The sequence below is a fragment of the Homo sapiens genome, chromosome 10, assembly GCF_000001405.40.
Source record: "Homo sapiens chromosome 10, GRCh38.p14 Primary Assembly".
NCBI lineage: Eukaryota > Metazoa > Chordata > Mammalia > Primates > Hominidae > Homo > Homo sapiens.
Genome location: NC_000010.11, coordinates 130110085 through 130136371, shown reverse-complemented (window position 1 = coordinate 130136371; position 26287 = coordinate 130110085). Strand labels below are relative to the sequence as shown.

At 48.0% G+C, this 26287-nt stretch overlaps 1 protein-coding gene, 3 long non-coding RNA genes and 1 pseudogene across 13 annotated transcripts in view, besides 10 other annotated features; 3 read left to right on the top strand and 2 right to left on the bottom strand.

The window, feature by feature from the left end:
* Positions 1–12371, top strand: LOC105378561 (uncharacterized). 3 transcript variants are annotated; one of them, XR_001747659.2, is made up of 6 exons: positions 1–2913; positions 4635–4767; positions 6068–8056; positions 8591–8785; positions 11494–11682; positions 12053–12371. It is a non-coding gene; the product is annotated as an uncharacterized LOC105378561 (long non-coding RNA). The 3 variants fall into 3 exon arrangements; XR_001747657.2 differs by lacking the exons at positions 11494–11682; positions 12053–12371 and having other exon boundaries at positions 2872–2913; positions 7993–8056; positions 8591–11020; XR_007062393.1 differs by lacking the exons at positions 1–2913; positions 4635–4767; positions 11494–11682; positions 12053–12371 and having other exon boundaries at positions 7777–7912; positions 7993–8056; positions 8591–11020.
* On the bottom strand, positions 4131–4627 carry PPIAP32 (peptidylprolyl isomerase A pseudogene 32; annotated as a pseudogene).
* Positions 9022–25079, bottom strand: LOC102724883 (uncharacterized). 3 transcript variants are annotated; one of them, NR_188169.1, is made up of 3 exons: positions 24256–25079; positions 22990–23054; positions 9022–10118 (listed from the first exon to the last, which is right to left on the bottom strand). It is a non-coding gene; the product is annotated as an uncharacterized LOC102724883 (long non-coding RNA). The 3 variants fall into 3 exon arrangements; NR_188168.1 differs by lacking the exon at positions 9022–10118 and adding an exon at positions 15390–16306; NR_188170.1 differs by lacking the exons at positions 9022–10118; positions 22990–23054 and adding an exon at positions 15390–16306.
* Positions 9535–9704: an enhancer, noted in NCBI's record as "experimental_11124 CRE fragment used in MPRA reporter constructs". NCBI's record gives its function as "activates a minimal promoter by MPRAs in K562 erythroleukemia cells, with activity observed for both the introgressed and non-introgressed 10:131925017 variant alleles {active_cell/tissue: K562}" and the evidence as "EXISTENCE:reporter gene assay evidence [ECO:0000049][PMID:34662402]".
* Positions 12791–12960: an enhancer, noted in NCBI's record as "experimental_11122 CRE fragment used in MPRA reporter constructs". NCBI's record gives its function as "activates a minimal promoter by MPRAs in K562 erythroleukemia cells, with activity observed for the introgressed 10:131921761 variant allele {active_cell/tissue: K562}" and the evidence as "EXISTENCE:reporter gene assay evidence [ECO:0000049][PMID:34662402]".
* Positions 14189–14689: an enhancer, noted in NCBI's record as "H3K4me1 hESC enhancer chr10:131919947-131920447 (GRCh37/hg19 assembly coordinates)". NCBI's record gives its function as "activates a minimal SCP1, AML or CMV promoter by ChIP-STARR-seq in primed H9 embryonic stem cells {active_cell/tissue: H9 hESC(primed)}" and the evidence as "EXISTENCE:reporter gene assay evidence [ECO:0000049][PMID:30033119]".
* LOC124902560 (uncharacterized) lies at positions 14288–16336 on the top strand. Its single transcript, XR_007062392.1, has 2 exons — positions 14288–14738; positions 16119–16336. It is a non-coding gene; the product is annotated as an uncharacterized LOC124902560 (long non-coding RNA).
* Positions 14670–14839: an enhancer, noted in NCBI's record as "experimental_11120 CRE fragment used in MPRA reporter constructs". NCBI's record gives its function as "activates a minimal promoter by MPRAs in K562 erythroleukemia cells, with activity observed for both the introgressed and non-introgressed 10:131919882 variant alleles {active_cell/tissue: K562}" and the evidence as "EXISTENCE:reporter gene assay evidence [ECO:0000049][PMID:34662402]".
* Positions 14670–15190: a biological region, named in NCBI's record as "H3K4me1 hESC enhancer GRCh37_chr10:131919446-131919946".
* Positions 14690–15190: an enhancer, noted in NCBI's record as "H3K4me1 hESC enhancer chr10:131919446-131919946 (GRCh37/hg19 assembly coordinates)". NCBI's record gives its function as "activates a minimal SCP1, AML or CMV promoter by ChIP-STARR-seq in primed H9 embryonic stem cells {active_cell/tissue: H9 hESC(primed)}" and the evidence as "EXISTENCE:reporter gene assay evidence [ECO:0000049][PMID:30033119]".
* Positions 24238–24367: an enhancer, noted in NCBI's record as "active region_4209". NCBI's record gives its function as "activates an Ori minimal core promoter by ATAC-STARR-seq in GM12878 lymphoblastoid cells {active_cell/tissue: GM12878}" and the evidence as "EXISTENCE:reporter gene assay evidence [ECO:0000049][PMID:35858748]".
* Positions 24848–25177: an enhancer, noted in NCBI's record as "active region_4208". NCBI's record gives its function as "activates an Ori minimal core promoter by ATAC-STARR-seq in GM12878 lymphoblastoid cells {active_cell/tissue: GM12878}" and the evidence as "EXISTENCE:reporter gene assay evidence [ECO:0000049][PMID:35858748]".
* Positions 25468–25847: a silencer, noted in NCBI's record as "silent region_2941". NCBI's record gives its function as "represses an Ori minimal core promoter by ATAC-STARR-seq in GM12878 lymphoblastoid cells {active_cell/tissue: GM12878}" and the evidence as "EXISTENCE:reporter gene assay evidence [ECO:0000049][PMID:35858748]".
* Positions 25542–26287, top strand: part of C10orf143 (chromosome 10 open reading frame 143) — a 75706-nt gene continuing 74960 nt past the window's right edge. For all 6 annotated transcript variants that reach the window (NR_149170.2, NR_034125.2, XM_024448009.2 and 3 more), the window contains exon 1: positions 25542–25668. Coding sequence is in view for 4 of the 6 variants with exons in the window: in XM_024448009.2 (XP_024303777.1) it covers positions 25600–25668 (69 nt within the window). In the remaining 2 variants the exon portion in view is untranslated. The remainder of the gene's footprint in view (positions 25669–26287) is intronic.
* Positions 26038–26217: an enhancer, noted in NCBI's record as "active region_4207". NCBI's record gives its function as "activates an Ori minimal core promoter by ATAC-STARR-seq in GM12878 lymphoblastoid cells {active_cell/tissue: GM12878}" and the evidence as "EXISTENCE:reporter gene assay evidence [ECO:0000049][PMID:35858748]".

Sequence of the window (26287 nt, the reverse complement as noted above, 5' to 3'; positions counted from 1 at the left end):
CGGGGCCACGGGGAGCTGAGCGGCTGCGCGAGGGAAAGCCCCGCCCCTGCCTGCGCTGAGGCTGCCGAGCCTGAGAAATCCCAAAAGGGGCCTCGGCGGCGGGCTCTGGATCCCGCTGGGGGGCTCTGACCCTGCCAAGTCTGGGCACTCCGCTGCGGGCCTCCTGGCTCCCGGGGTTCATGGCTGTTATGGTTCCTGGCTGTCGGGGCTCCTGGCTTTCGGGGCTCCCTGGCTGAAGGGGCTCCTGGCTGTAGGGGCTCCTGGCTATGGAGGTTCCCGGTTATAAGGGCTTCTGGATGTAGTGGATTCTGGCCGTCGAGGTCCCTGGCTGTCGGGGCTCCTGGCCGTAATGGCCCCTGGCTGTCGGGACCCCTGGGTGTCGGGGTTCCTGGCTGTCGGGACCCCTGGGTGTCGGGGTTCCTGACTGTAGGGGCTCCTGGGTGTTAGGGTTCCTGGCTATAGCAGGGGCTCCTGGGTGTCGGGGTTCCTTGCTGTCAGGGCTCCTGGTGGTAGAGGCTTCTTGCTGTTGGCTTCCTGGCTGTCGGGGTGACTGGGTGTCAGGGCTCCTGGTGTTAGGGTTCCTGGCTTCCTGGCTGTAGTAGGGGCTCCTGGGTGTCGGGGTTCCTTGCTGTCAGGGCTCCTGGTGGTAGAGGCTTCTGGCTGTTGGGGTTCCTGGGTGCCAGGGCTCCTGGGTGTCAGGGTTCCTGGCTGTCAGGACACCTGACTCCTGAGGCTCCTGGCTTTTGGGGCTCCAGACCTTCCTTGCACTTCCTGTGTCTCCTGGGTCTGTAATAGAAGGGGCCGGTGGAGGGGTGGGGGTGAGACATGTGAGTGAAAGTGAAGTCAGATGTGTACATTTAGGAAGCTGAAATTATCAAAAATGAAATTGCATAAAGGTGAGGAAGAACTGGGAGGTCTGGGAACAGAAGTGGTAGATCTTGAACTTCAACACAGACAGGGTGCTTCCAATTCAGTCCTGGGACCTGAACCCGGAGCCCACAGCATGTCCCTCCTCCCCTGGCCCTCCGCGCGTGCCGCCACTCATTGCAGCCCCACAGAGCCATCACCCATTGTAACCTCAGAACAGAAGGGGCTGGGTGGGTCCACAGATCCCTGCACTCCTCCCGTCTTGCCTCCTTGGATGATCCCTGGCTTGTCTTTCTCCCTTGGGAATCCCCCTGATGTTGGCTCTCCATGTGGTGTACTCTGTACCCCACACCCCATGCTTCCCACACACCTTCTGGCCTGAGTAATCTCCATGCCCCCAGTGACATCAACCTCCAGGGAAACCTCAATAGCAAGCCCAGAACCCTCCCCTGCATCCCAGAGCCTAGCATCCACTAACTTTGAGGAGGGGCCATCTTTTATTGGATATCCCCAAACCACACTGGGCCTTCCCTCCAAAGTGCCTCTCCTCTTGGTTCCCATCTCAGGGAACACCATCGCTCCCACCCAGACACTTGGGGCTCCTTCTGACTGGTCCCCCTGCTGTCCCTGGGCTTTGAGGCCAAGCCCCCACAGAGCCTTCCCTACTAGCCAGGTGTTCCCAGGCCTCCTTTGCTTGCTTCTACCGTGGCCTGTCTCATGTTGTAGAACTGTGCTTGTCCTCCATTGGCCTGTGTTCTTAAAGGGCAGGAGCTGATCTGTGTCTCAGTGCCTGGATCAGAGTCAGACACATAGGAGGTACTCAGTCCATGCTAACAGCTGCCAGAGGACTGGGCTCACTGGATTGCAAAGACTTCGTACGAGAAAAGTAGCATATCATTCATACTTTTTATATTGATTACATGTTGAAATGAGGATATTTGGATATATTCGGTTTTCTGAAATATATTATTTAAATTGGTCTCTTTTACCTTTGGCTCCTGAGAAATGTCTAATTTCATAGGCAACTTTCATTCGTGGCCCTTGAATTTTCTTGGGCAGCACTACTGTGGTGTTTAAAAGCCTTTTGGAGCCTGTCACATGTATACCTCACCTGGAGAAATACATGGTATTGAACACGGTAAATTGTGTTATTTAAAATGCAACAGGAGAGTGATGAGGAACCATTTTGTATCTTGCCTGTGGTGGTGAGAACACAAACTAAACATGATAAAATTGTATAGAACTTGGCTGGGTGCTCTGACTCACACCTGTAATCCCAACAATTTGGAAACCCCAGACAGGAGGATCACTTGAGCCGAGGAGTTGGAGACCAGCCGGGCAACATAGGAAGACCCGGTCTCTACAAAAATATATATATATATATGAGTCAGGCATGGTGGCTCACACTTGTGGGCCCAGGTAGGTGAGAGGCTGAGGTGAGAAGATCACTTGAGCCTGGGAGTTGGAGGCTGCAGTGAGCCATGATCCTGCCACTGCTACTGCCCACTAACCTGGGCGACAGAGCAAGACCCTGTCTCAAAAACAAAAACAACGCACACACACACACACACGCATGCACGCGCGCACGAGTACAAGTAAAACTGGGAAAATCTGAAAAAGATCAGTCGATTGTTTATAAATATCAACATCCTGGTTGCAGTATTACAGTTTTGCAAGGTGTTGTCATCGGAAGAAAGTGTACACAGGATCTGTATTATTTCTCACAACTGCATGTGAATCTACAGTTGTTTTAAACTAAAAAGTTTAGTTAAAAACCATGTAAATAAGACTTTAAAGTTTACTATGAAAAGAATGCAATAGGAGGGAAAAAAGACACCATGTCAAAAAAAAAGAAAAAGATACCATGTCATAAAACAAGATACACATTCTGGTTATCACTTTTTTTCTTTTCTTTTCTTTGAGATGGAGTTTTGCTCCTGTTGGCCAGGCTGGAGTGCAATGGCGTGATGTCGGCTCACCGCAACCTCCACCTCCCGGGTTCAAGCGATTCTCCTGCCTCAGCCTCCCAAGTAGCTGGGATTACAGGTGTGTGCCACCACGCCCGCCTAATTTTGTATTTTTAGTAGAGACGGAGTTTCTCCATGTTGGTCAGGCTGGTCTCGAACTCCTGACCTCAGGTGATCCGCCCGCCTCGGCTTCCCAAAGTGCTGGGATTGCAGGTGTGAGCCACTGTGCCCGGCCTGTGATTATCATTTTTAAGTAGAATTGAATGTAAATAAAACATATAACTATATCAGTGAATGGCTCATAGAAAAGGGTCTCCAGAAGGATGCTCCCCAAATTATTATCAGAGCTTGCCTCCAGAGGGCAGAAACAGAGGAGAGCTAAAGGGAGGCCCTTCACTTTGACTTACACACTTCTTTGTGTCATTTGCTTGTTTTCTAATAGCATAGACTGCTTTTGACATTTAAAAAATAATGAAATTGTATTGCACAGGGGAAATGTGCTATAGTGAATCCTTTTCAAAAAAAAAAGCAGTAATCACCCCTCAAATGTGGCTGTTTTATAAATGCTGATTTTTCTTTTATTTTTTATTTTTTGAGACGGAGTCTTGCCCTGTCACCCAGACTGGAGTGCAGTAGCGCGATCTGAGCTCACTGCAAGCTCCGCCTCCCGGGTTCATGCCATTCTCCTACCTCAGCCTCCCGAGTAGCTAGGAATAGAGGCGCCTGCCACCACGCCCGGCTAATTTTTTGTATTTTTAGTAGAGATGGGGTTTCACCGTGTTAGCCAGGATGGTCTCGATCTCCCGACCTCGTGATCCGCCCACCTCGGCCTCCCAAAGTGCTGGGATTACAGGCGTGAGCCACCGCCCCCGGCCCGCTGATTTTTCTTTTAAATGGAATTTGCTGAAAGTGGCACAAACCAGTTGCAGAGCAGACTCTAAAAAAAATGCTATGAAAACTCCTGGATAACACTTCCATTTCTGCCCTTTTTGTAGTTTATTATTGTAGGGGCCACAGGAAAGCTTCTCCTTAGCCCTCTGATGGTTTGCTGAAAATCACTGACAAAAGGCAGATTAATAGGAGAAAAGATAAACAAATTTATTTGATCACAGTTTCACGTGACACGTGAAGACTCAAAGATACAGGGAAAACTGTCCATTTGTATGCTTAGGTTCAACGAAGTATGGACAGTTATGTAGAAATACGATTGGACAAAATGGGTATGCTCTTATGCTAGCAGAACTCACTGGGGGCTTTGCAGATGCTGACGCCCCCCAGAACCCCCTGCTACCAGCCATGGTCAATCCCACCATGTTCTTCAACATGGCCGTCAATGGCAAGCCCTGGGGCCATCAAACAGCCCTTCGAGCTGTTTGCAGACAAGATTCCAAAGACAGCAGAACACTTGCATGCTCTGAGCACTGGAGGGAAAGGATTTTGTCATGAGGGTTCCTGCTTTCACAGAATTATTCCAGGGCTTATGTGTTAGGGTGGTGGCTTCACACGCCGTAATGGCGCTGGTGGCAAGTCCATCTACAGGGAGAAATTTGATGATGAAAACTGTAGCCTGAAGCATACAGGTCCCGGCATGTTGTCCAAGGCAAATGCTGGACCAACACGTACGGTTCCCAGTTTGGCATCTGCACTGCCAAGACTCAGTGGTTGCATGGCGAGCATGTGGTCTTTGGCAAGATGAAAGAAGGCATGAGGGTCCAGAAATGGCAAGACCAGCAAGAAGGTCACCATTGCTGACTGTGGACAACTCTAATAAATGTGACTTTGTGTTTTGTCTTTGAAAAGAACTGACTGGGAGAACCCAGCAAGGCTGGTCTGGTGTTCAGATTCTTCCTGGCCTCTGTGCAGCCTCCTTCCTTCTGGGTAAAGGAGCAAGACCCTCTGTGGAATGAGGTCTTATGAACTACACTCAAGCAAGGTAGGTGAGAACATTTCTTTTTGGCCAGTTTTTTTGTTTGCTTATTTTTGAGATGGGGTCTCGCTCTGCCACCCAGGCTGGGGTGCAGTGGCATGATCTCGGCTCACTGCAACCTCCACCTCCCGGGTTCAAGTAATTCTCCTGCCTCAGCTTCCCGAGTAGCTATGATTACAGGCATGCGCCACCACACCAGGCTAATTTTTTGTATTTTCAGTAGAGATGGGGTTTTACCACATTGGCCAGGCTGGTCTTGAGCTCCTGACCTCAAGTGATCCACCTGCCTTGGTCTCCCAAAGTGTTGGGATAACAGGCATAGCCACTATGTCTGGCCCATGGCCAGTTTTTACAGAGAAAAGGTGGGGTGTTGGGTTCTTTGTTTTTACACGGGAAAGGTGGGGTCAGCTTATTTAGCTGACCTTGCTATAGGATATGGTGTATTAGGTAGCACGGAGAATTTTGGATTTTCGGGTGTTGGGGGGCAGGGAGTTAGAGTAATTATTTGGGGGAAAGGGGTACTGGTTTCTATGATGTGCCTAAGGGAAGAGGGATTCTAGTTTCTCTGGCTAGCCTCAGAGGAGAATGAGGGGCAGGGACAGGAGGGCAAGAGAAGATCAGAGAAAAACTTTTGCTTCTGAGGTTGTAGCTGAGGCCTCATTCTAGGCTTCTGTTTCCTGAGCCCATGTTGTCACTGTTGATATCAAGAGGCCTAGGGGCAGCAGATGACCTCCTCCCAGCTCTAGGAGCTCTGATATTCTGACATGGACAGCAGACTACTAGGCTCTGCCCTGAGCTGAGCCAGGTTTTGGGGAGCTATGGGATACACAGGTGCCCACTGGTAGATGGCACTTTTCAGCTATTAAAAGCCCCCAAAGGTAAACATCTGTATTGATCATTCAGCACCCCATTAAGCTGATGATGTGGGACCCACACTGCCCATGACCCACTGTATAGCTAAGGAAACTGCCCAACCCACAGCAGAGGAGGGACATCGCCAGGACTCACTGCCCCGAACAGTGCCCTGGAAAGTCCATCCTCTCTCCCTATGACCATGTTAGGGCCCACAGGGAAAAACTGGCCATGACCCTATTAAATTGGCTTGGGCTGGCACAGAATGCGCTGGACCTGGCCTAGAATGCGCTGGACCTGGCCTTTCCCTTAAGCCCCATTAAGCTGAAAAGCAAGGACTGTGGCTGATTGTGGCCATGTGCCCACGGGTTCCTCCTGGCCGCTAATATTCTACTGACCCTGTATATAAGCATCATTTAGCCATGGTTTTTTTTTTTTTTTTTTTTTTTTTGAGACGGAATCTCGTTCTGACGCCCAGGCTGGAGTGGAGTGGCATGATCTCGGCTCACTGCAACCTCCGCCTCCCGGGTTCAAGCAATTCTTCTCCCTCAGCCTCCCAAGCAGCTGGGACTACAGGCGTGTGCCACCACACCTGCATTTAGCCATTTAGCCAAGTTCTATTCCGTCTTGGTGGTGGTGGTGGGGTTCCCATAGCCTGAAGAATAAGGGCCTGGGGCTCTGGGCCTGGGGACTGAAGCTTAGGCCTTGGAGACCTGAAGCTCCAGTGGAAGATGCTTTCCTGGACTTTCCTGGCAGCAAAAAAAACTTCACCTCTTGCCTATGAATTGCCTGTATTTTAAAGGGTGTGTGTGTGTGTGTGTGTGTGTGAGAGAGAGAGAGAGAGAGAGAGAGAAATTGAGGTGTAATTATTTTGCTGGGTGATGACAACAAACATTTACTGCTCCTAAACAGGCAAGGAAATGATTTAGCCATGAACTTTTCATGATGCCTCATTCCCTCCTGTGGTCCCGTGGTCCTCAGGCTGCGCAGTGGGAGAAGGGGGGGTGGGGGGCCACAAATAACCCACGTGGAAAGGAATGTGGGGTCAGCCTCAGGAAAACTGGGAGGGGAGGTCCCACCTGGTGGGGGTCTTTGTAAACCCTACCAAGGGAAGCCCAGAAACACAAAGAGGTGCAGGGAGAGAAAGAAGGAGGAGGTGTTTTAAAGAGTAAAGCCTGGCATTAGAAAGTGTTATTCGAGTAAAATGGCCAACGTTTCCTTTCTTTTAAGAGCGACTCTTAAATTCCAATTACTCCGCCCCCAAAGACCAGTTGAGAATAACCCCAACTGGAGGGAATTAATTTCCTTAGGAATTTCACTCTTACAAGATTAATGGAGCCCCCCTGCAGAGAAACGGTAAAACTGTAAGTACAGTAGATTTGCACCTGAAGGATACATATTTTAATTTCTGTTCTCAAGCTGCGATAACATCTTCTCCAGCTACTATAAAAAGCATAAATGAGCACCCGCACGTCTGCTGAGAACTTGCAACCCCAGGCTCCCCGGGAGCAGCCCCGCGCCGACCCTCCACGTTGCTCGCCTGGGTGCGGCGTGGGCGCGGGGATGGGAAGGCGCGGGGATGGGAAGGCCCAGGGCAAACAGCCTCCCCGCGAGCCGGGTCGACCCAGCCCAGAGCAGAACCCCTGGACCAGATTATCTTAAGTCGACCCCTACCCCGCCCCCAGCCCTGTCACCCACCGTGGCACCGCCCTCCCGCGGGGACAATTGGCCTGGACCAAGAATGGGGAGCCTGAACAGTGGCCGGTCTCCCACCCGCTCCTCCGGAGCCTGCAGGGGGGTTCAGCCTCTGTCCAGCAGACTTCCTGGCCCCAAGAACGGGCCTTGGGAAGGGGCTCCCCTGACTCCAAGTTGACAGCAGCCCGTCCCTTCTCCTTAGCCCAAGCCACTCTGGCAATGGGGACCTGCCTCCCTCACGCTAACCAAGGACCGGTCTGGGATGGGGAGTTGGAGATGGGCTGTGAGGACTCTTCTCTCAGCCCTTAAGAGTCCAGAACTTATCTGGGAACACATCAGCCAATTTTCTGTTCCCTTTCTTGCCAGGAACTGCTTTTATTGGAAGAAGTCTATGTATATGCATGCCATAAAGGTTGTTTATGCTGTCATAGCTAGATTTTTATTGGTTGTATTTTTGCTGCACTTGCTTGAAAAATAATTATTTTCAAAGAAAAGAAGAATTACATATCCAGTAAACTAAATAAGACTCACTGTTTATTAGAGACCTCTGACAGCTCCTCAAACACGAAAAAAGATTTCCAAGTAGTGGATGGACAATTTATGTGTAAGTTTATTTGTAAAACAGATTTCAAAACATACTTCATCTTGACTCTGCCAATAAAAATACATTCCATTTCTTTTCAGAAGTATGTCTTATCTGATGGCTTCACAGTAATCTGGTTTCCCCTAAGAAGCTAAGACTATCTGGGTAAGTGTGTACCCAGTAGCCTAACCTAGCTTTGGGTTGAGTTGTGGGGCTGCTATACAGAGGGGAAAAGTGATTACGTCCCACAAGAAGTTCTCTAGAAGAAATGTATTTATAAGAAATGTAGTTCATAAATCCCAACCCAGCTATTGCAATCTCTAAAAACTAGTTAAAACAATTTTCAAACATGTTTGTAATTGTTTGTTTACAATTTATCGGGGGGGAAGAAAAACTCACCCTGGAATGCCTGCCCATTTTCCATTCCCTACATAGATTCTAATCTCCCACCTAGGATGAGCCAGGGACTTGGGCGCGAATTGTAGTGCCAGATTCCAGGCTGTAGGTGGCATAAGTGCCTCTTCAGGCTGGAGAAACAGCAGCCTTTGTTGAGTGGCTTTATTCAACCTGAGAAACCACAGCTGAGAATTCACACAAACCGATGCTGTATTTGTGGAGGCTCCACCGACTCACCCAAAACACGTGCTTTTCCCCTGACCTGCAAACTTTTAACACCTTCTTCTCTTCCCGTTTCACTAGGCTATTTGAGATCCTGCAAGATTTATCAAGACTGTACTAGCCATATGAAAGCATGTTAACACAGGGAGGGAGAGAGGAAAAGCCCTCCACATGTTATGACTGGCATACATGCTTCCAAAGCATCGTTACTAACCGAAGGCCCAGTTCCTGAGGCGATCACCCCAGACACACTGAATGCAATTTGTTGGTCACTGAGTGGGTATACCTAATCACCACAGATGTTTACATGCAGCTGCATTTTCTCTCCGTTTGAGTCACAATGTTTTATATGTAAATAGTATTGTGTGCATGTGTGTGCATATGTGTATTTATCCTCCAAGTCCAGATGGAGTTAATTTTCTGCTGTTATTTGTAGTTCATGTTTCATATCTAAGAAACTAAGGACCCAGATGAGCTTTCCTTGGTGTCACAAACTTTTTTTTTTTTTTTTTAATAGAGATGAGGTCTCACTATATTGCCCAGGCTGGTCTCCAACTCCTGAGCTCAAGTGATCTTCCTGCCTTAGCCTCTCCAAGTGCTGGGATTACAGATGTGAGCCACTGCACCTGGCCAACAAACTTCTGATTCTTATAGAATCAGATGTAATTCCTTAGAGACCTGAGAAGTTCTATACTCAGGTTCTTTCGTGCCGTCTGACTCCAAGAGCTCTTGCCTGAAGGAGGTCCCTTCCAGGACACTGAGTCCCAACCCACACCACCTCCTTGGAGGGCGTGTGCCCTCTCTTCCGCTGACCTTGACATTCTTGCACAGGCTGCTTGTGCACAGAGGCATCACCTCCCAGAGGGGACCTCTGGAGTGGCCCCAGGTACCAGGTACAGTCAGCCGCTTCTACCTGTGGAAGGCGATCAGGGTAGAAAGCTCTGGGAAGCACTAAAAATACACACAACCCTTACAAACACAACTCGGTGATACATGCTAATAGTTCTGGACTCCAAACTGGGGCCAAAGCACAGACTCCACAGCTAGTTCTAGCATGTAGCAGATGTCACCCAACCTGGAAAGCTACTTGGTTGAAACTTAGTTAAATCCGTGGCCACAGCAGTTTTATACTTGACCTGAGTCCTCCAATGTCTGCCACACCTGCAGTGGCTTCCTTCCCATTCTCTCTCTCCTCTAAAATACAAGAGGCATTTCCCCCCAGTGCAGGAAGATGGAACAGACTATTTTGGTTAATCATCTACATTTGTGTTCTTGAGTTTCTTCTGGAGTTGTCCAGCCTGGGGCTGCATGCACATTGGCCCACCACAAATGCCTCCCTCTGCGGAGAGTGAGGTGGGCCGGTCGGGGCAGAACGCCTGCTTCTCAATGCACCCCTTGCTCACTCAGCTCTGGGAGCCCCCCTGCCAGCGTGCCCGAGAGCTACTCTAAATGAAGTTCGAGCTCCATTTCAGGAAGGTGGTGAGACAATAAAATAACCCAGGATGACGTGAACAGTTTTGCATTTGCTTCAAACTCTGAAAGGATTCATGGTTCCCACGGCCTCCAGACTGGATGGACCACTTTGGGTTTCAATGGCAGGATGATTTTTCTGTAAAACAATGGCTGGCTTTAAATTTCTTCTTCTAGAACAAACCAAAAAAGAAAAGAAAAAACAAACCACTAATTCTTAAGGATGCATAGGCCCCAGTTGCCTGATGGTATGTAGAAAGAAAGAAAGAAATACAGCGGTAATGTTCTGGTGAGGGAGCTAGTTTCCTAGGAGTCAAGTAGAAGTTTGCTGTTGACTCCATGATTAGCCTACGTCTGAGGTTGTATCTATTACTTGCCCATCATATGAAATATGCTTTAATCAAAAGAAACATCTTATTGAAACACTCCATGCCAACATTACCTTCAGACTTTGCCACCATAACATATACGTTCTTTTTCCAGTTTGCCGCTGGTTGAAATGACTAAGTGGAAACGGGAGATGCAGGAAGAAAGTCACCCTCCTATGATGAGAGACGGATGTGTGGGGCCCTAATGAGGAACCCTTTACTCCATGAAACCGAGGGAAAGAGCTGCGCTGAGCCACGTCTGGCTGACTCTGCACAGACAAAACGGGGCAGCTCTGCTGGCCACCAAGCCCATCAGCAGCCAGGTGGTCAGCGAGGAGCAGCTGCCCTGAGGGCTGATGGTAGGAGGCAGAGAGCCCAGGGCCGAAAGAACAGCGGGCTCAGTGCCCTGCTCCCTCCTTCTCAGCCCCGCCACGGGGAAGCACAGTTTGGCCCCATTTTCAAAACCACTGTGTTTTATTTCTATTGTCCCAAACCCTCTGGCCTTCTTCCTAGAGAACACCAAGAGGAATGCTCTCACCAGTTTGGTTGAAACCTTATTTTTTAGTTTGTGCACATTCAATGTCACTGTGCTAAGAGTGACCGGATGCATTAGTCAGTTTTCATGCTGCTAATAAAGACATACTGGCCCAGCGCAGTGACTCACGCCTGTAATCCCAGCACTTTGGGAGGCTGAGGCGAGTGGATCACCTAAGGTTGGGAGTTTGAGACCAGCCTGGCCAACAGGGAGAAACCCCATCTTTACTAAAAATAAAAAATTAACCAGGCATGGTGGCGCATGCGTGTAATCCCAGCTACTCAGGAGGCTGAGGCAGGAGAATCACTTGAACCTGGGAGGCAGAAGTTGCGGTGAGCTGAGATTGTGCCATTGCACTCCAGCCTGGGCAGTAAGAGCGAAACTCTGTCTCAAAAAAAAAAAAAAAAAAAAAAAAAATACCCAAGATGGGTAATTTATAAAGGAAAGAGGTTTAATGGACTCACAGTTGCATATGGCTGGGAAGGCCTCACAATTATGGCAGAAGTCAAAGGAGGAGCAAAGTCATGTCTCACATGGAGGCAGGCAAGGAGCTTATGCAGGGAACTCCCCTTTATAAAACCATCAGATCTCATGAGACTTCTCATTATCAGGAGAACAGCACAAGAAAAACCCACCCCCATGACTTGATTACCTCCCACAACACGTGGGAATCATGGGAGCTACAATTCAAGAAGAGATTTGGGTGGAGACACAGCCAAACCACGTCACCAGACTGCCTCTTCAGGGAGTGAATCACAAATGTATTCCTGACCACCCTGTTTTCTCCCCTCTTGAATCAGGTAAGTCCTTGCCCAGGACGGAGATTGGTCCTAACTGTATTTGCCCTAAAGAAATATGACCTTTTATGATGGGGTATATTTATTAAATAACAGTATTCTGATATTTAATGACTACATGACCACTAACACAGCTGGATGAAGTTGAATTCCAAAGGAATCCCAAGGCCTAATCCTATCCTTAAATAAAATATTATTTTCTTTGAAAAAGGGTCTTGCTTTTTCACCCAGGCTGGAGTGCAATGGCGTGACCATGGCTCACTGCATCCTAGACCACCCAGGCTCAAGGGATCCTCTGCCTCAGCCTCCTGAATAGCTGGGACCACAGTCATGTGCCACCACACCAGGCTACTTTTATTTTTATTTTTTATAGAGATGGGGGTCGCCTATATTTCCAAGGCTGGTCTCCAACGCCTGGGCTCAAAAGATCCTCTGCCTTGGCCTCTCAAAGTGCTGGGATTACAGGTGAGCACCACCATGCCTGGCCTAAAATGTTCTTTTTTTAAGAGATAGCTGTAACAATCTTTAACTATTTAGCAATCCTTTTTTGGGGGAAAGGTTGTCTCTTGTTTGTCAGCAAATGTAGTATGTGAGTTTACATGTCTTTGCTTTCATTGTATAATTTCAAATAGTCAGAAAATATTGCATTCACTGGCAATCAATTTATTTTGATTGATAAAAAGGGGTTAATAAAAACCCCCTTAGAAATAAAAAGAAGGTGAATAGTAATATATCAGTCATGGTGCCTTCTTTCTGCTATGCATAAAGAAAACAAGCTTTTTTACTTCTCCCCAATAAGTCTTCTCCCCTTATTTTCTACACCTATGGAGTCATTTATAATCTTTATTATTTCCAACCACACACTAACATGGCATCAGTCATATTTCCACATGCTGGGGGTTTTTTTTTTTTCCTTACTATGTTGTGAGAACTGAAAGGCAAAAATGTCCTATAATTTATATGAAAATACATGTCCAAAATGGATTATCAGACATAACTGATGTGACTTCATACACTTGAAAATAAAAAAACTTAGGATGAAATATAAAACATCATGGTAAAATTTCAATCTATTGTTGAAATAAAACATGACTTAGAAAGGACACTGGTGTGTGGCATTTAACAAACATTGTCAAGCTCTTAGAAGCAGGGGTAGGTTAAGATGGGAGATAGTACTTTCCATTCAAACATAAAACTATTGACTTTGGAAGGTACATTTGTGGTTTATTAATATTTTTATTTATCAACAGCACCTTTGAAGAAAATGCAAAATGACTATAAAATTCTTACCTTCTGTATATAGCGAGTGTTTAGAGTACCATTGTGAGACAGACTTGGGCATATACGTTATACAGTGTCATATAGATCTCTAATTTGCACTGGTCATAAAGTCTTTTCTTTTTTTTTTTTTTTTGAGACAGGGTCTTACTCTGTTGCCCAGGCTGGAGTGTAGTGGTGAGATCTTGGCTCACTGCAACCTCTGCCTCCCAGGTTCAAGTGATGCTCATGCCTCAGTCTCCTGAGCAGCTGGGATTACAGGTGCCCGCCATGACACCTGGCTATTTTTTTTATTTTTAGTAGAGACGGGGTTTCACCATGTTGGTCAGGCTGGTCTCGAATTCCTGACCTCAAGTGATCCACCCACTTCAGCTTCCCAAAGTGCTGGGATTACAGGCGTGAGCCATCGCACCTGGCCTAAAGTCTTTTGATATTAAATAATTATCTTTGTTTATCATCCTTAAAAAGCACATTTACAATGTCAGAAAATAATTCAGGGCACTGGCTTAGATTACAAAAGTCTGCATGTAGAGACATTATTTTGAAAGTTGAGGCCAGGTGCGGTGGCTCACGCCTGTAATCCCAGCACTTTGGGAGGTCAAGGCGGGTGGACCACCTAAGGTGGGGACAAGTTCGAGACCAGCCTGACCAACATGGAGAAACCCCGTCTCTACTAAAAATACAAAATTAGCTGGGCATGGTGGCGCATGCCTGTAATCCTAGCTACTCGGGAGGCTGAGGCAGGAGAATTGCTTGAACCCGGGAGGCGGAGGTTGCGGTGAGCCGAGATCGCACCATTGCACTCCAGCCTGGGCAACAAGAGCAAAACTCCGTCAAAAAAAAAAGAAAGTTGAAAAATAGTGGATTGTTACTTTCTTTTTTGTTTTAATGAAGTATTCCTGGATTATTATAAGGATTGCATTTAGAAAAGTCTTTCTCTTTTTTTAATCTCATTTTTATGAGCAGGTAGAAAAGTCTTAAACTGAGTCTTATAAAAGAAAATACAGCCTAAGCTAAAATGATATTGGAACAAAACCATGACCCTCACCAAAACAAATGTGTGGCTTCCCTTATAGGGAGAAGGGCATCCTTCAGGTTCTAATCCTCTTGGGCTAGAACAACTGCCCTGTCCACAGGGAGAGGAGAGGGCTAAAGACCGAGGCTAGACAGGAGAGACAAGAGACAGCAAAGTGGGAGACCCTCCATAGACAGACCTATGCAGCTACTCTTTAGTGATGCGATTTGAACATACAAGTGTCAGATGTTATGAGAAAATCACGAAGCAGCGCCTGCGTGGCTTGTGCATTCTCACCGACTTGTCTCACTTAACATCGAGCTGTGTCTGCTTCACTGGAGCCTCTCCTGCAGAGAGGGCAGGAGGGCAGGAGAGCAGGGGGACCCCTCCTAGAGGCCCCCAAGGGCTGGGCCTAAGCAGACACCCCACAGCTAACTGCTGAACTCACCCATCCCCTGGCCTCGAGCAGGCACCCACTCTGGGCCCTGCCTGTGCCGGGCGCCGGGACACACAGATAAGCACACACAGGGCACCCGAGCTCCCTCAGCAAGTCCAGGTGAGCAAACGCAGATGGCCAGCAGAAAGGGGAGCTCCTTTGGAGGACCAAGTGCCAGGAGAGGTCAGAGGAGCAAGCCTGAGCCACGATGGGAAGTCCCCATGCAACACTGGCTGCACCTCGCAGGAGGAGAGAGGTGGAGAGGGCATGGCATGAAGCCAAGCCTGGAATACACGGCCCCGGGGCAGTACAGGCCCCGGCAACTGGCTGGTAAGCGGGACCAGCAAGGAGTCTGGTGGGGAAGCAGACAAACCCCTTAATCACACATGGCCCTGCACAAGCCACTTCAGATGCAGAATAAAGAGTACACAAGCGTGTGCAACAGAGGCTCATGTCAGAAAGCCATGCCCTGGGCCTTGCACGTCACTCCCCAGCAGGGTGCCCAGAAAATGCCACTGGGAAATGGAGGCCTTTGGGGTACCTGACAAGCTAGAGCTGTGGGTTGCTGTTTTCGTTTGTTTGTTTTTGTCTAACTCACCTTGTTTTCAGGAAGACTTGCAGCTTAATAAGGAGGCTTTACATGGGAACCCAAAGGCTACTGGGTGCAGAAGGGTGGGAAACCAGATGGACTTGGTTGAATTCAGGTCTGCCACTTGGTGGCCTTGCGGCCGTGGACACCATGGGTAACTTCTCTGAGCCTCAGTTTTTTTGTCTGAAAATGAGGATAGTCCTGCGGTATTACTGTAATAATTAAATGAAATCAAAGGTGCCAGGCTAACTAGCGAACTCTCTGTTGGCACACTTCTTTCCTGAGTGCCTGCAGTGTGCCTGGCTCTGGACAGCAGGGAACAAAGCACTCTGGGGGGTTGCGGAGAGAGTACAGAACATCAGCTTGTGAACCCCGAATATCTGAGACAGGTCTCAGTTAATTTAGAAAGTTTATTTTTGCCAAGGTTGAGGATGCACGCCCGTGACACAGCCTCAGGAGGTCCTGATGACACATGCCCAAGGTGGTCAGAGCACAGTTTGGTTTTATATATTTTAGGGAGATACATCAATCAACATATGTAAGATGTACATTGGTTCAGTCCGGAAAGGCGGGACAACTCGAAGCGGGAGGTGGCTTCCAGGTCATAGGTAGATAAAAGGCAAATGGTTGCATTCTTTTGAGTTTGTGATGAGCCTCTCCAAAGGAGGCAATCAGATATGCATTTATTTCATTGAGCAGAGGGGTGACTTTGAATAGAAGGGGAGGCAGGTTGGCACTAAGCAGTTCCCAGCTTGACTTTTCCCTTTAGTGATTTTGGGTCCCTCAGATTTATTCTTCTCTCACAAACCAGAAGACAAACTGCCACAGAGTGATGAGCACCCTGGAGAACTGGAATTGGGCCACACAGGCCAGCACCAGGTGGCTGCTTTAGCCCGGGTGGTCCACACGGCTTTGCCGGGAAGGGGACATTTCAGTCAAAATCTAGAAAACAAGGAGCAAACCAGGTGTAGTTGAGGGGTTGAGGGGTGATACGGTTTGGATGTTTGTCCCCTCCAAATCTCACGTTGAACTGTGACCACCAGTGCTGGAGGTGGGCCTAGTGGGAGGAGTTTGGGTCATGGGGGTGGATCCCTCATTATTGTCTCCATGCCGTCTTCCAGGTAGTGAGTGAGTTCTGGCTCTAAGAGTTCATGCAAGAGCTGATTGTTTAAAGAGGCTGGCACCTCCTCCTCCCTCTCTTGCCACGTGAGACCCCGCTGCCCCTTGGCCTTCTGCCATGATTGAAAGCTTCCTGAGGCCCCACTGGAAGCAGATGCTGACACCGTTGCTTCGTGTACAGTCTGTAGAACTATGAGACAAATAAACTGCTTTGTAAATACCCAGCCTCAGTATTCCTTTATAGCAGTGCAAAACAGACTAATCAAAGGGGGAAGCATTTCCAGGTAAAGAAGATAACCAATTATTGTTATTGTAATATCTAAAGAAACCGTAAATTTCAAAGGTAAAATCTAACCTTATTCTAGTGCCCAAGGAAGTGCTGGGAATGTTTAAATAAGAGGGCAGCAGGGAATGGAAGGAGCGCCTCGGAAATGCCTACTCCATGCCAGGCTCCCTACTACAGGCTTTACGTGTTATCTTGTACATCTCAGTAAGATGAGCAGACATGGTGCTTTTTAAAAGACGTCATGGGAGTTTGAAAGGGGGAAGATTGGGTAAATGGAAAAACAGAAGTCATGGCTTTGCAAAAGTTGAATCAAACTGCTCCTTGGCCCGGCCCCATCACACACACAGATCCCCCTTGGCATGGCCAAAATGAGTGTGTTCATTGGCAAATCAGCAGCCACTCTTGGAAGCTCTGACTTCTCTGGAAGGCAGATGACAGAAGCAGTCTATTTTATTCCTATTTTATAGATGAGGGAACTGAGGCTCAGAAACAAACACTCATCATTTGAATACAGGAGCCATTACCGAATCAAACCTCTCTGGAAACCGCCTGAACTCTATGTGATCCAGGAAGGGGAAAGACTGTGTGCTCAGTTAGAGAAAGACTAGAGATGGTCACACCAGCTACCATTAGTTGAGACCTTACCAGACACAGTGCTCACCACTCCACAGTCACAGACAAACATCTCACTTAAAACTCCAAAGTGGCCGGGTGCGGTGGCTCATGCCTGTAGTCCCAGCACGTTGGGAGGCTGAGGTGGGCGGATTAAGAGGTCAAGAATTTGAGACCAGCCTGGCCAACATGGCGAAACCCCGTCTCTACTAAGAATACAAAAATTAGGGCTGGGCGCGGTGGCTCACGCCTGTAATCCCAGCACTTTGGGAGGCCGAGGCGGGTGGATCATGAGGTCAGGAGATTGAGACCATCCTGGCTAACAAGGTGAAACCCCGTCTCTACTAAAAATACAAAAAATTAGCCGGGCGCGGTGGCGGGCGCCTGTAGTCTCAGCTACTCGGGAGGCTGAGGCAGGAGAATGGCGTGAACCCGGGAAGCGGAGCTTGCAGTGAGCCGAGATTGGCGCCACTGCAGTCCGCAGTCCGGCCTGGGCGATAGAGCGAGACTCCGTCTCAAAAAAAAAAAAAAAAAAAAAAATTAGCCGGGCATGGTGGCAAGTGCCTGTAATCCCAGCTACTCAGGAGGCTGAGGCAGGAGAATTGCTTGAACCCGGGAGGCGGAGGTTGCAGTGAGCCGAGATCACACCACTGCACTCCAGCCTGGGCGACAGAGCAAGACTCCGTCTTGGGGGAAAAACAAACAAACAAACAAACAAACCCAAAAGTATTCCACTGAGGTAGATACTATTAGCATCCCAATTCTTAATTTTATTTCTCTAGTTTTTAGACAAGGTCTCCCTATGTTCTCCAGGCTAGAATGCAGTAGCCATTCACAGGTTACACCATAGCATACTATAGCCTCAAACTCCTGGGCTCAAGCAACCCTCCTGCCTCAGCCTCCCGAGTAGCTGGGACTACAGGTATGTGCCACCATGCCAGGTTTTATTATTCCAATTGTTGCGGGAAATCAGGGACCCCGAACAGAGGGACCGGCTGGAGCTGAGGCAGAAGAACATAAAATTGTGAGGATTTCATGGACATTTATCAGTTCCCAAAATTAATACTTTTATAATTTCTTACGCCTGCCTTTACTGCAATCTCTGAACATAAATTGTGAAGATTTCATGGACATTTATCACTTCCCTAATAATACTCTTATAATTTCTTATGCCTGTCTTTAATCTCTTGATCCTGTTATCTTCGTAAGCTGAGAATGCACGTCACCTCAGGACCACTATTGTACAAATTGATTGAAGAACGTGTGTTTGAACAATATGAAATCTGATTGTAAAATATATGTGTTTGAACAATATGAAATCAGTGCACCCTGAAAAAGAACAGAATAACAGCAATTTTTCAGGGAACAAGAGAAGATAACCATAAGGTCTGACTGCCTGTGGGGTCGGGCAGAATAGAGCCATATTTTTCTTCTTGCAGAAAGCCTATAGACAGATGTGCAAGTAGAAGAAATATCACTGAATTCTTTTCCCAGGAAGGAACAACCCTGGGGAAGGAATGCATTCCTGGGGGGAGGTCTATAGATGGCCGCTCTGGGAGTGTTTGTCTTATGCAGTTGAGATAAGGACTGAAATACGCCCTGGTCTCCTGCAGTGCCCTCAGGCTTACTAGGATTGGGAAATTCCAGCCTGGTAAATCGTAGTCAGACCAGTTGTCTGCTCTCGAGCCCTGTTTCCTGTTAAGATGTTTATCAAGACAATGCGTGCACAGCGGGACATAGACCCTCATCAGTAATTCTAATTTTGCCTTGCCTTGTGATCTTTATTGCCCTTTGAAGCATGTGATCCTTGTGACCTACTCTCTGTTCGTACACCCCCTCCCCTTTTAAAATCCCTAATAAAAACTTGCTGGTTTTGCAGCTCGGGTCATCATCACAGTCCTACCAATATGTGATGACACCCCCGGAGGCCCAGCTGAAAATTTCTCTTTGTACTCTTTATTTCTCAGACCGGCCGAAACTTAGGGAAAATAGAAAGAACCTATATTGAAATATTGGGGGCTGGTTCCCCCGATACCAATTTTATACACCAAAAAGGGGAAGGGGACTTAGAGGTTCAAGCAGCTTTGTCCAGGTGCTGGAAACTGGCAGGGTGGGATTGAACTCGAATCACCTTCCACCTGAGAGATACTTCCCTTGAAGGTGGTGTGCAAGATGACAGTTAGTGGTGCATAAACAGGTATTTATTTATTTATTTATTTATTTATTTATTTATTTATGGCAGGGTCTTGTGTTGCCCCAGCTGGAGTGCAGTGGCGTGATCATGACTCACTGCAGCCTTGACCTCCTGGGCTCAAGCGATCCTCCCACCTCAGGCTCCTGAGTAGCTGGGACTACAGGTGCATGCCACCACACCAGGCTAATTTATATATATATATTTTTTGTAGAAACCAGGCTCTCCCTATGTTGCCCAGGCTGGCCTAGAACTCCAGAGCTCAAGTGATCTCCCCACCTATGCCTCTCAAACTGCTGGGGTTACAAATGTGTGTCACCATGCCGAGCCATGAGAAACAATTTTTATTTTATTTTTAGAGATGGGGTTTTGCTTTGTTGCCCATGCTGGTCTTGAACTCCTGGGCTCAAGCGATCTGCCCTCCTTAGCCTCCCAAAGTGCTGGGATTACAGGTGTGAGCCACTGCACCTGGCTGAGAAACTTTTATTTTAATAACGTATTTTTTATTGTGGTAAAATATACATAAGATGAAGTTTGCCACCTTAACTATATTTAGGTGTATGCTTTAGTAGTGTTAAGTACATTCACAATGTTGTGCAAACATCACCATCATTCAGCTCCAGAATGTTTTCATCTTCCCAAGCGAAAGCTCTGTACTCACTTAACAGTACCTTCCCATTCCTCCTCCTCCTCCCAAGGCCCTGACAATCACCATTCAACTTTCTGTCTCCACACCTTTCACTATTCTAGGCAGCTCATATAAGTGGAATCATAGTTTGGACTCTTTGTGATTAGCTTATTTCACTTAGCATTACATCTTCAAGGTTCATCCGTGTTGTAAAATATGCCAAAATTCCCTTCCTTTTTAAGGCTGTGTATTATTCTACCATATATATATATATATATATATACAGTAGAATATTATATATATACACATACAGACCACATTTTATTTATCCACTGATGGACATTTGGGTTGCTTCCAACTTTTGGCTATTGGGAATAATGCTGCTATGAACACGGGTGTACAAATGTCTGTTCTGAGTCCCTGCCTTCAGTTATTTTGTGTATATTCCCAGAAGTGGAATTTTGGATTACACGGTAATTTTATTTTTAATTTTTTGAAAAAACACCACACTGTTTTCAACAGTGGCTACAGCATTTTACATTCCCACCAGCCATGCACAAGGGTTTCAATTTCTCCACACCCTAGCCAAAACTTGTCATTTTCTTTTTCTCTTTTTTTTTTTGAGAGGGGGTCTTCATCTGTTGCCCACGTTGGAGGAGTGCAGTGGCACAATTTCAGCTCACTTGCAGCCTCGACCTTCCAGGCAATCTGCCCACCTCTCAGCCTCCTGAGTAGGTGGGACTACAGGCGGGAGCCACCATACCTGGTTAATTTTTGTATTTCTGTTTTTTTGTAGAGATGAGGTCTTGCCATGCTGCCCAGGCTGGTCTCAAACTCCTACACTCAAGTGATCCGCTCAGCTCAGCCTCATGAAGCTCTGAGTTTTCAGCCATGAGCCACCCACCATGCCCGGCTGCTTTTTTTTTGAGATGGAGTCTCGCTGTGTCACCCAGGCTGGAGTGCAGTGGCACGATCTTGGCTCACTGCAACCTCTGCCTCCTGAGTTCAAGCGATTCTCCTGCTTCAGCTTCCCGAGTAGCTGGGATTACAGGCCTGCACCACCACACCTGACTAATTTTTGTATTTTTAGTAGAGACAGGGTTTCACCATGTTGGCCAGGTCTTGAACTCCTGGCCTCAAGTGATCTGCCTGCCTCAGCCTCCCAAAGTGCTGGGATTACAGGCATAAGCCACAGTGCCTGGTCACTGTTTTTTTCTTTTTGATAATAGCCATCCTAATGGGTGTGAAGTGGTATCTCAATACGGGTTTGATTAGCATTTCCCTAATAACTGATGATATTATCTTCATGTGCTTATTGGCTATTTGTATATCTTCTTTTGAGAACTGTCTATTCAAGTTATTTGTCTATTTTTCTGTTTTGTTTCTTTTTTGAGACAGGGTCTCACTTTGTTACCTCAGATAGAGTACAGTGGTGAGATCATGGTTCACTGCAGCCTCAAACTCCTGAACTCAAGTGATCCTTCCACCTCAGCCTCTCTAGCAAGAGGCTAATTTTTTGCTTTTTGGAGAGACAGGGTCTTGCTGTCTTGCCCATGCTGGTATTTGTCCATGTTTTCAATCAGGTTTTTTGTTGTTGTTGTTGAGTTGTAGGCATTCTTTTTTTTTTTTTTTTTTTTTTGAGATGGAGTCTCGCTCTGTCATCCAAGCTGGAGTGTAGTGGCGCAATCTTGGCTCACTGCAACCTCCGCCTCTCAGGTTTAAGCAATTCTCCTGCCTCAGCCTCCTGAGTAGCTGGGACTACAGGCACACACCACCACGCCCGACTAATTTTTGTATTTTTAGTAGAGATGAGGTTTCACCATATTGGCCAGGATGGTCTCGATCTCCTGACCTCGTGATCCACCCACCTCGGCTTCCCAAAGTGCTGGGATTATAGGAATGAGCCACTGCACCCAGCCAGGTATTCTTTATATAATCTGGATATTAACTCCTTATCAGATATGCGATTTGAAAATATTTTCTCCATTTCCTGGGTTGCCTTTTCACTGGATTAATAGTGTCCTTTGATGTACAAAATTTTAAATTTTGATATAGTCCAAATTATTTTTTTCTTTTGTTGACTGTGCTTTTGGTGTCATATGCAAGAATCCAATATCATGAAGTTTTCCCATATTTTCTTTACTTTTTTTTTTTTTTTTTTTTTGAGACGGAGTCTCACTCTGTCACCCAGGCTGGAGTGCAGTGGCGTGGTCTCGGCTTACTGCAACCTCTGCCTCCCAGGTTCCCAGGTTCAAGAGATTCTCCTGCCTCAGCCTCCCGAGTAGCTGGGACTACAGGCACGTGCCGCCACCACCATGCCTGGTTAATTTTTTGTATTTTAGTAGAGACAGGGTTTCACCATGGTGGCAAGGCTGGTCTCCATCTCCTGACCTTGTGATCCACCTGCCTTGGCCTCCCAAAGTGCTGGGATTACAGGCTGGAGCCACTGTGCCTGGCCAATTTTTCTTTCTTTCTTTTTTTTGAGATAGAGTTTTGTTTTGTCGCCTAGGCCTGGAGTGCAGCGGTGTGATCTTGACTCACTGCAACCTGCGCCTCTAGGGTTTAAGCAATTCTCCTGCCTTGGCCTCCCAAAAAGCTGGGATTACAGGCATGCGCCATCATGCCTGGCTAATTTTTGTATTTTTAGCAGAGACAGGGTTTTGCCATGTTGGCCAGCTGGTCTTGAACTCCTGGCCTCAGACAATCCGCCTGTCTTGGCCTTCCAAAGTGCTGGGATTACAGGCATAAGTCACTGTGCCTGACCTCCCATATTTTCTTCTAATAATTAATCTATTTAACATATTAAAATAGTGAGCATTCAAACCATCACTTTATAGATGTCACATATTATTTTTAAAGTTTTTCAAACTTAAGATATTGAGAATTTAAATAAATATACTATGTAAATAATAGGAGAGGTTTAGCATACATCTTGCAGTTAGTACCCAAGTGACTGATGCTTGGTAAATACTGTGCTAAGCTAAACTGCATCCTTCTAAATATACCTATTGCTGTATCTCATTCCTAAGCTAAGCAGTCCCCCCCCCAGTACCCAATGGTTGCCTCATGCATCCATTTAAGAAAGACAGCAGACCAAAACTGGAGTCACTAAATGCTAAGGATTCATGCTACCAAACTGAAACCTGGGTTGCTTACTTGTAAGATCTTCTGAGAAATCAGGAGAGGGATGAAAGCCAAATTACATTACACCAAGATTTCGTCTACACCTCTATAAGGAAAGTAACCTTGAAATGACTGATCTGCTATTTGTTCATTCTTCCTGCTTTCCTCCACTTTTTCCTGCCTGTCAAACTCACCCACTCGGTCCTCATTGGAGCACCTTTCTATCTTGTAGACTGCCTGGTGCATGCAATGCTATTAAAAACCAATCAGATCTTTGAAACTAAATTTGTTGAAATTTTGTTCTTATACACATCTGAAAAGCAGCCATCAGTATAAAGGCCAGCGAATCAAAAGTGGGTAACAAAGCAAGTCATCTAATCTAAACTGCAAGACAAGCATTTTGAGAGGCCTACAACATACCTTATTTTCAATTCTGAAATGCAGAAAGTCCTCCAAATTAGTTTTTCCCCACGCTTGGAGTAAACTCATTTGAACTGATATGAGACTATTTACAACCTTTATTTATTTATTGTATTTATTTTATTTGAGACAGGGTCTCACTCTATTGGCCAGGCTGGAGTGCTGTGGTGTGATCACAGCCAACTCACTGCAGCCTCAACCTTCCAGGCCCAAGCAATCTTCCCACCTCAGCCTTCTGAGTAGCTGGTACTACAGGTGGGCGCCATAGTGCCCGGCTAATTTTGTTATTTTTATTTTGTAGAGACGGGGGTCTCACTGTGTTGCCGAGGCTGGTCTCAAACTCCTGGGTTCAAGCAATCCTCCCGCTTTGGCCTTCCAAAGTACTGGGATTACAAGCATGAGCCACTGTGCCTGGCCCTATTTACAACCTTTATATATCCCACTTAGGGTGAATATTTGTGAATACTCACACATTTCTGCTATAGAAACATTGTTTGACTACGGGGGCATACAATATATCTCACCTTTTTTAAACATTCAAAAAATTCTGAATTTCACAAACACATCTGGCCTGAAAGGTTTTTGATAAGGGACTGTGAATCAGTGGTGGCATAATTAGTCTTAGGAGTACTAACTAATAGGAGAAATGTTACATTTGTTAAGTACTTAGTTTGTGTCCAGCATTGTTCTAAGTATCTTCTAGGTAAATGCCTCATGTAATCCTCACGATCTCTATGCTTTATCATCCTATCCTTTATAAATGAGGAAACTGAGGGAGATTAACTATTTAATTTGCTGAGGATCATGCAGCAAATAGCCCGAAGAGGGATTCATGCGTTTCACCATAATGGTTAAGAACAGGGCTTTGTCAAAGGATACCTTCAACTGCAGCAGAATGATGGACTCAAATCACAGAGACACGACAAAGTGACGGGTAGTCAGCTGTGGGTTGGTTCAGAGGCTCAGGCTGTTCCGGCTCTAGGTGATTTCCTGCTTTCCTAGGGTTCCCACCAGCTGCCCTCATGGTGACAAAAAGGCTGCTGCAGCTCCAGGAAACTTACACTGGGCAAGGACAACAGGAAGAAAACAGCCCCCACCCACCCAACTCCCCTTTTAACTAGAAGATCTTTCCCGAAACTCTGCCTCAACAGACCTCGCTTACTTCTCCCTGGCCCGTACTAGGTCGTGTACCCATCGTTAGCCAATCGCTGGCAACGGATTGGCCCCGTTTTAATTTATCCAAAAAAGGCGCCAGTCTGGGCTGTTTGGAGCAGTCAAGGGAGCTCCGTGCTAAGGCAGGAGGGGCCTGGACATGCGGCTGCAGGAGTCCGGGCCTCGGTGCCCTAAGATGAGGGCTCAGTGGTGCTCAGCACCGCGCCGGGCCAGAGACTGAGCCGCCGCCGGCTGTTGAGGGTTGGTTGGCTGAATCCCCGGCAGGGGCCAGGCGGAGCGAACATCACCGCGGCAACTGCCTCCACAGCACACACTCCCGACAGTGGCTGCGCTTTTCCCCTTCAGCACAGCCCAAAGGCCCCGGCAGCTCAGCACCTGCGACCTCCTAGTGCCCTCCAGCCTACGGAGGAGTAGAAGTCCTTCCGGGGCCTCCCAACCAGCAGCCACCAGCCACCAGCCACAAAAGCCGTGAGCCGCGCGGGGCTGGCCTGAAAGCTCTGCGTCTTCCCACCGCGGCAACAGCAGCTCCCACCCGGAAGCGAGGCAGCCCTGCGGACCACAACTCCCAGAAACACCCGCTGTCTCGCTCAAGCTAATTGACCCGCTGCGCCATCTATTAGCCAACCAGCCACAGGGAGACGGCTCCCCACGAGGCCTAACAACCAATCATAAGACAGAGGAGGCGGGCGCTCCTCCAGCCGATCCACGGGGTGTTGTCAAAAGTTTGGCGGGATCCTGAAAGAATGCTTTCTTTAGAGCCCCACGGCTGCTCCTGTGAAGGGAGAAGCGACAAGCAGAGATATGCAGGGACCTCTCTGCGAAGTAATGACTTGGGGCAGACGGACAACGCCCACAGCATCCCAATAGTCTCAGAAGACTCTGGTCTCTGCTACTCCTGCCTGCGGTCCTCGCCTTGGTGCTCTCGCGCTTCCCGCGGCGTCCCGCCCCTCCCTCTCCTTATTGGCTCCCCAGGGCCTTGTGCGGAAGGGGGCGTGGTGCGCGGGCCTCGGCCAGGCCTGAGATGCCGGGAGGGTTTGACCCTGGGGCTGCATGGACAGCTTAGCGCTCGGCCGCTGGCGACAGCGGAGGGCGGAGGATCTGCAGGTTCCGGGGGACGTGGTGAGCCCCCGGGGCCTGGGCGTTAGGGACGGGAGGGCGGATGGCCCCTGGGCGGGTTCCCACCGCGCCTCGTTTTTGCCGGCGCGGCCCTGCCTGTGAGGAGGCCTGGCCCAAGACACTCGCACGCTCGCGTACGTCCCTGGGAGGGCGTGGCCAGTGATGGGCGTGGCCTGTTAGGGCGGGGTTGTGACGCCGCTCTCCCGGTTTCGCGCCTGCGCGGTCGGGCGCGGAGCTCGGGCACCTTCCTGACCCACACGCTCACTGGGGCTCCAGACCCAGGCTCCCTAAAACATGGGCCGAGACTCATTGCAGGACCTCGGGTGCTTGGTATCCGTGTCATGTCTTCTCCTGCCGTCTACACCTGACTGTTCCTGAGTCTCGTTCACTGAGCGCCTGCCACGTGCCAGGCCCAGGGCTGGGTGTTGGGGGACGAGTACGTGGGGAGCGAACACGCGCAGAAAATTACCCGGCATTGAGCGTGTTAGTGCTTCTTGGGCTGAGTCCATTAACTGATGAGCAGAGGGTAAGATGAGATGGTAATGGGGAGACTTGCACAAGATCCCAGGGTGCGTGGGTAAGTCAGGTATGTGTGAGACTTGAAGGATGACCGGGGGTAGGC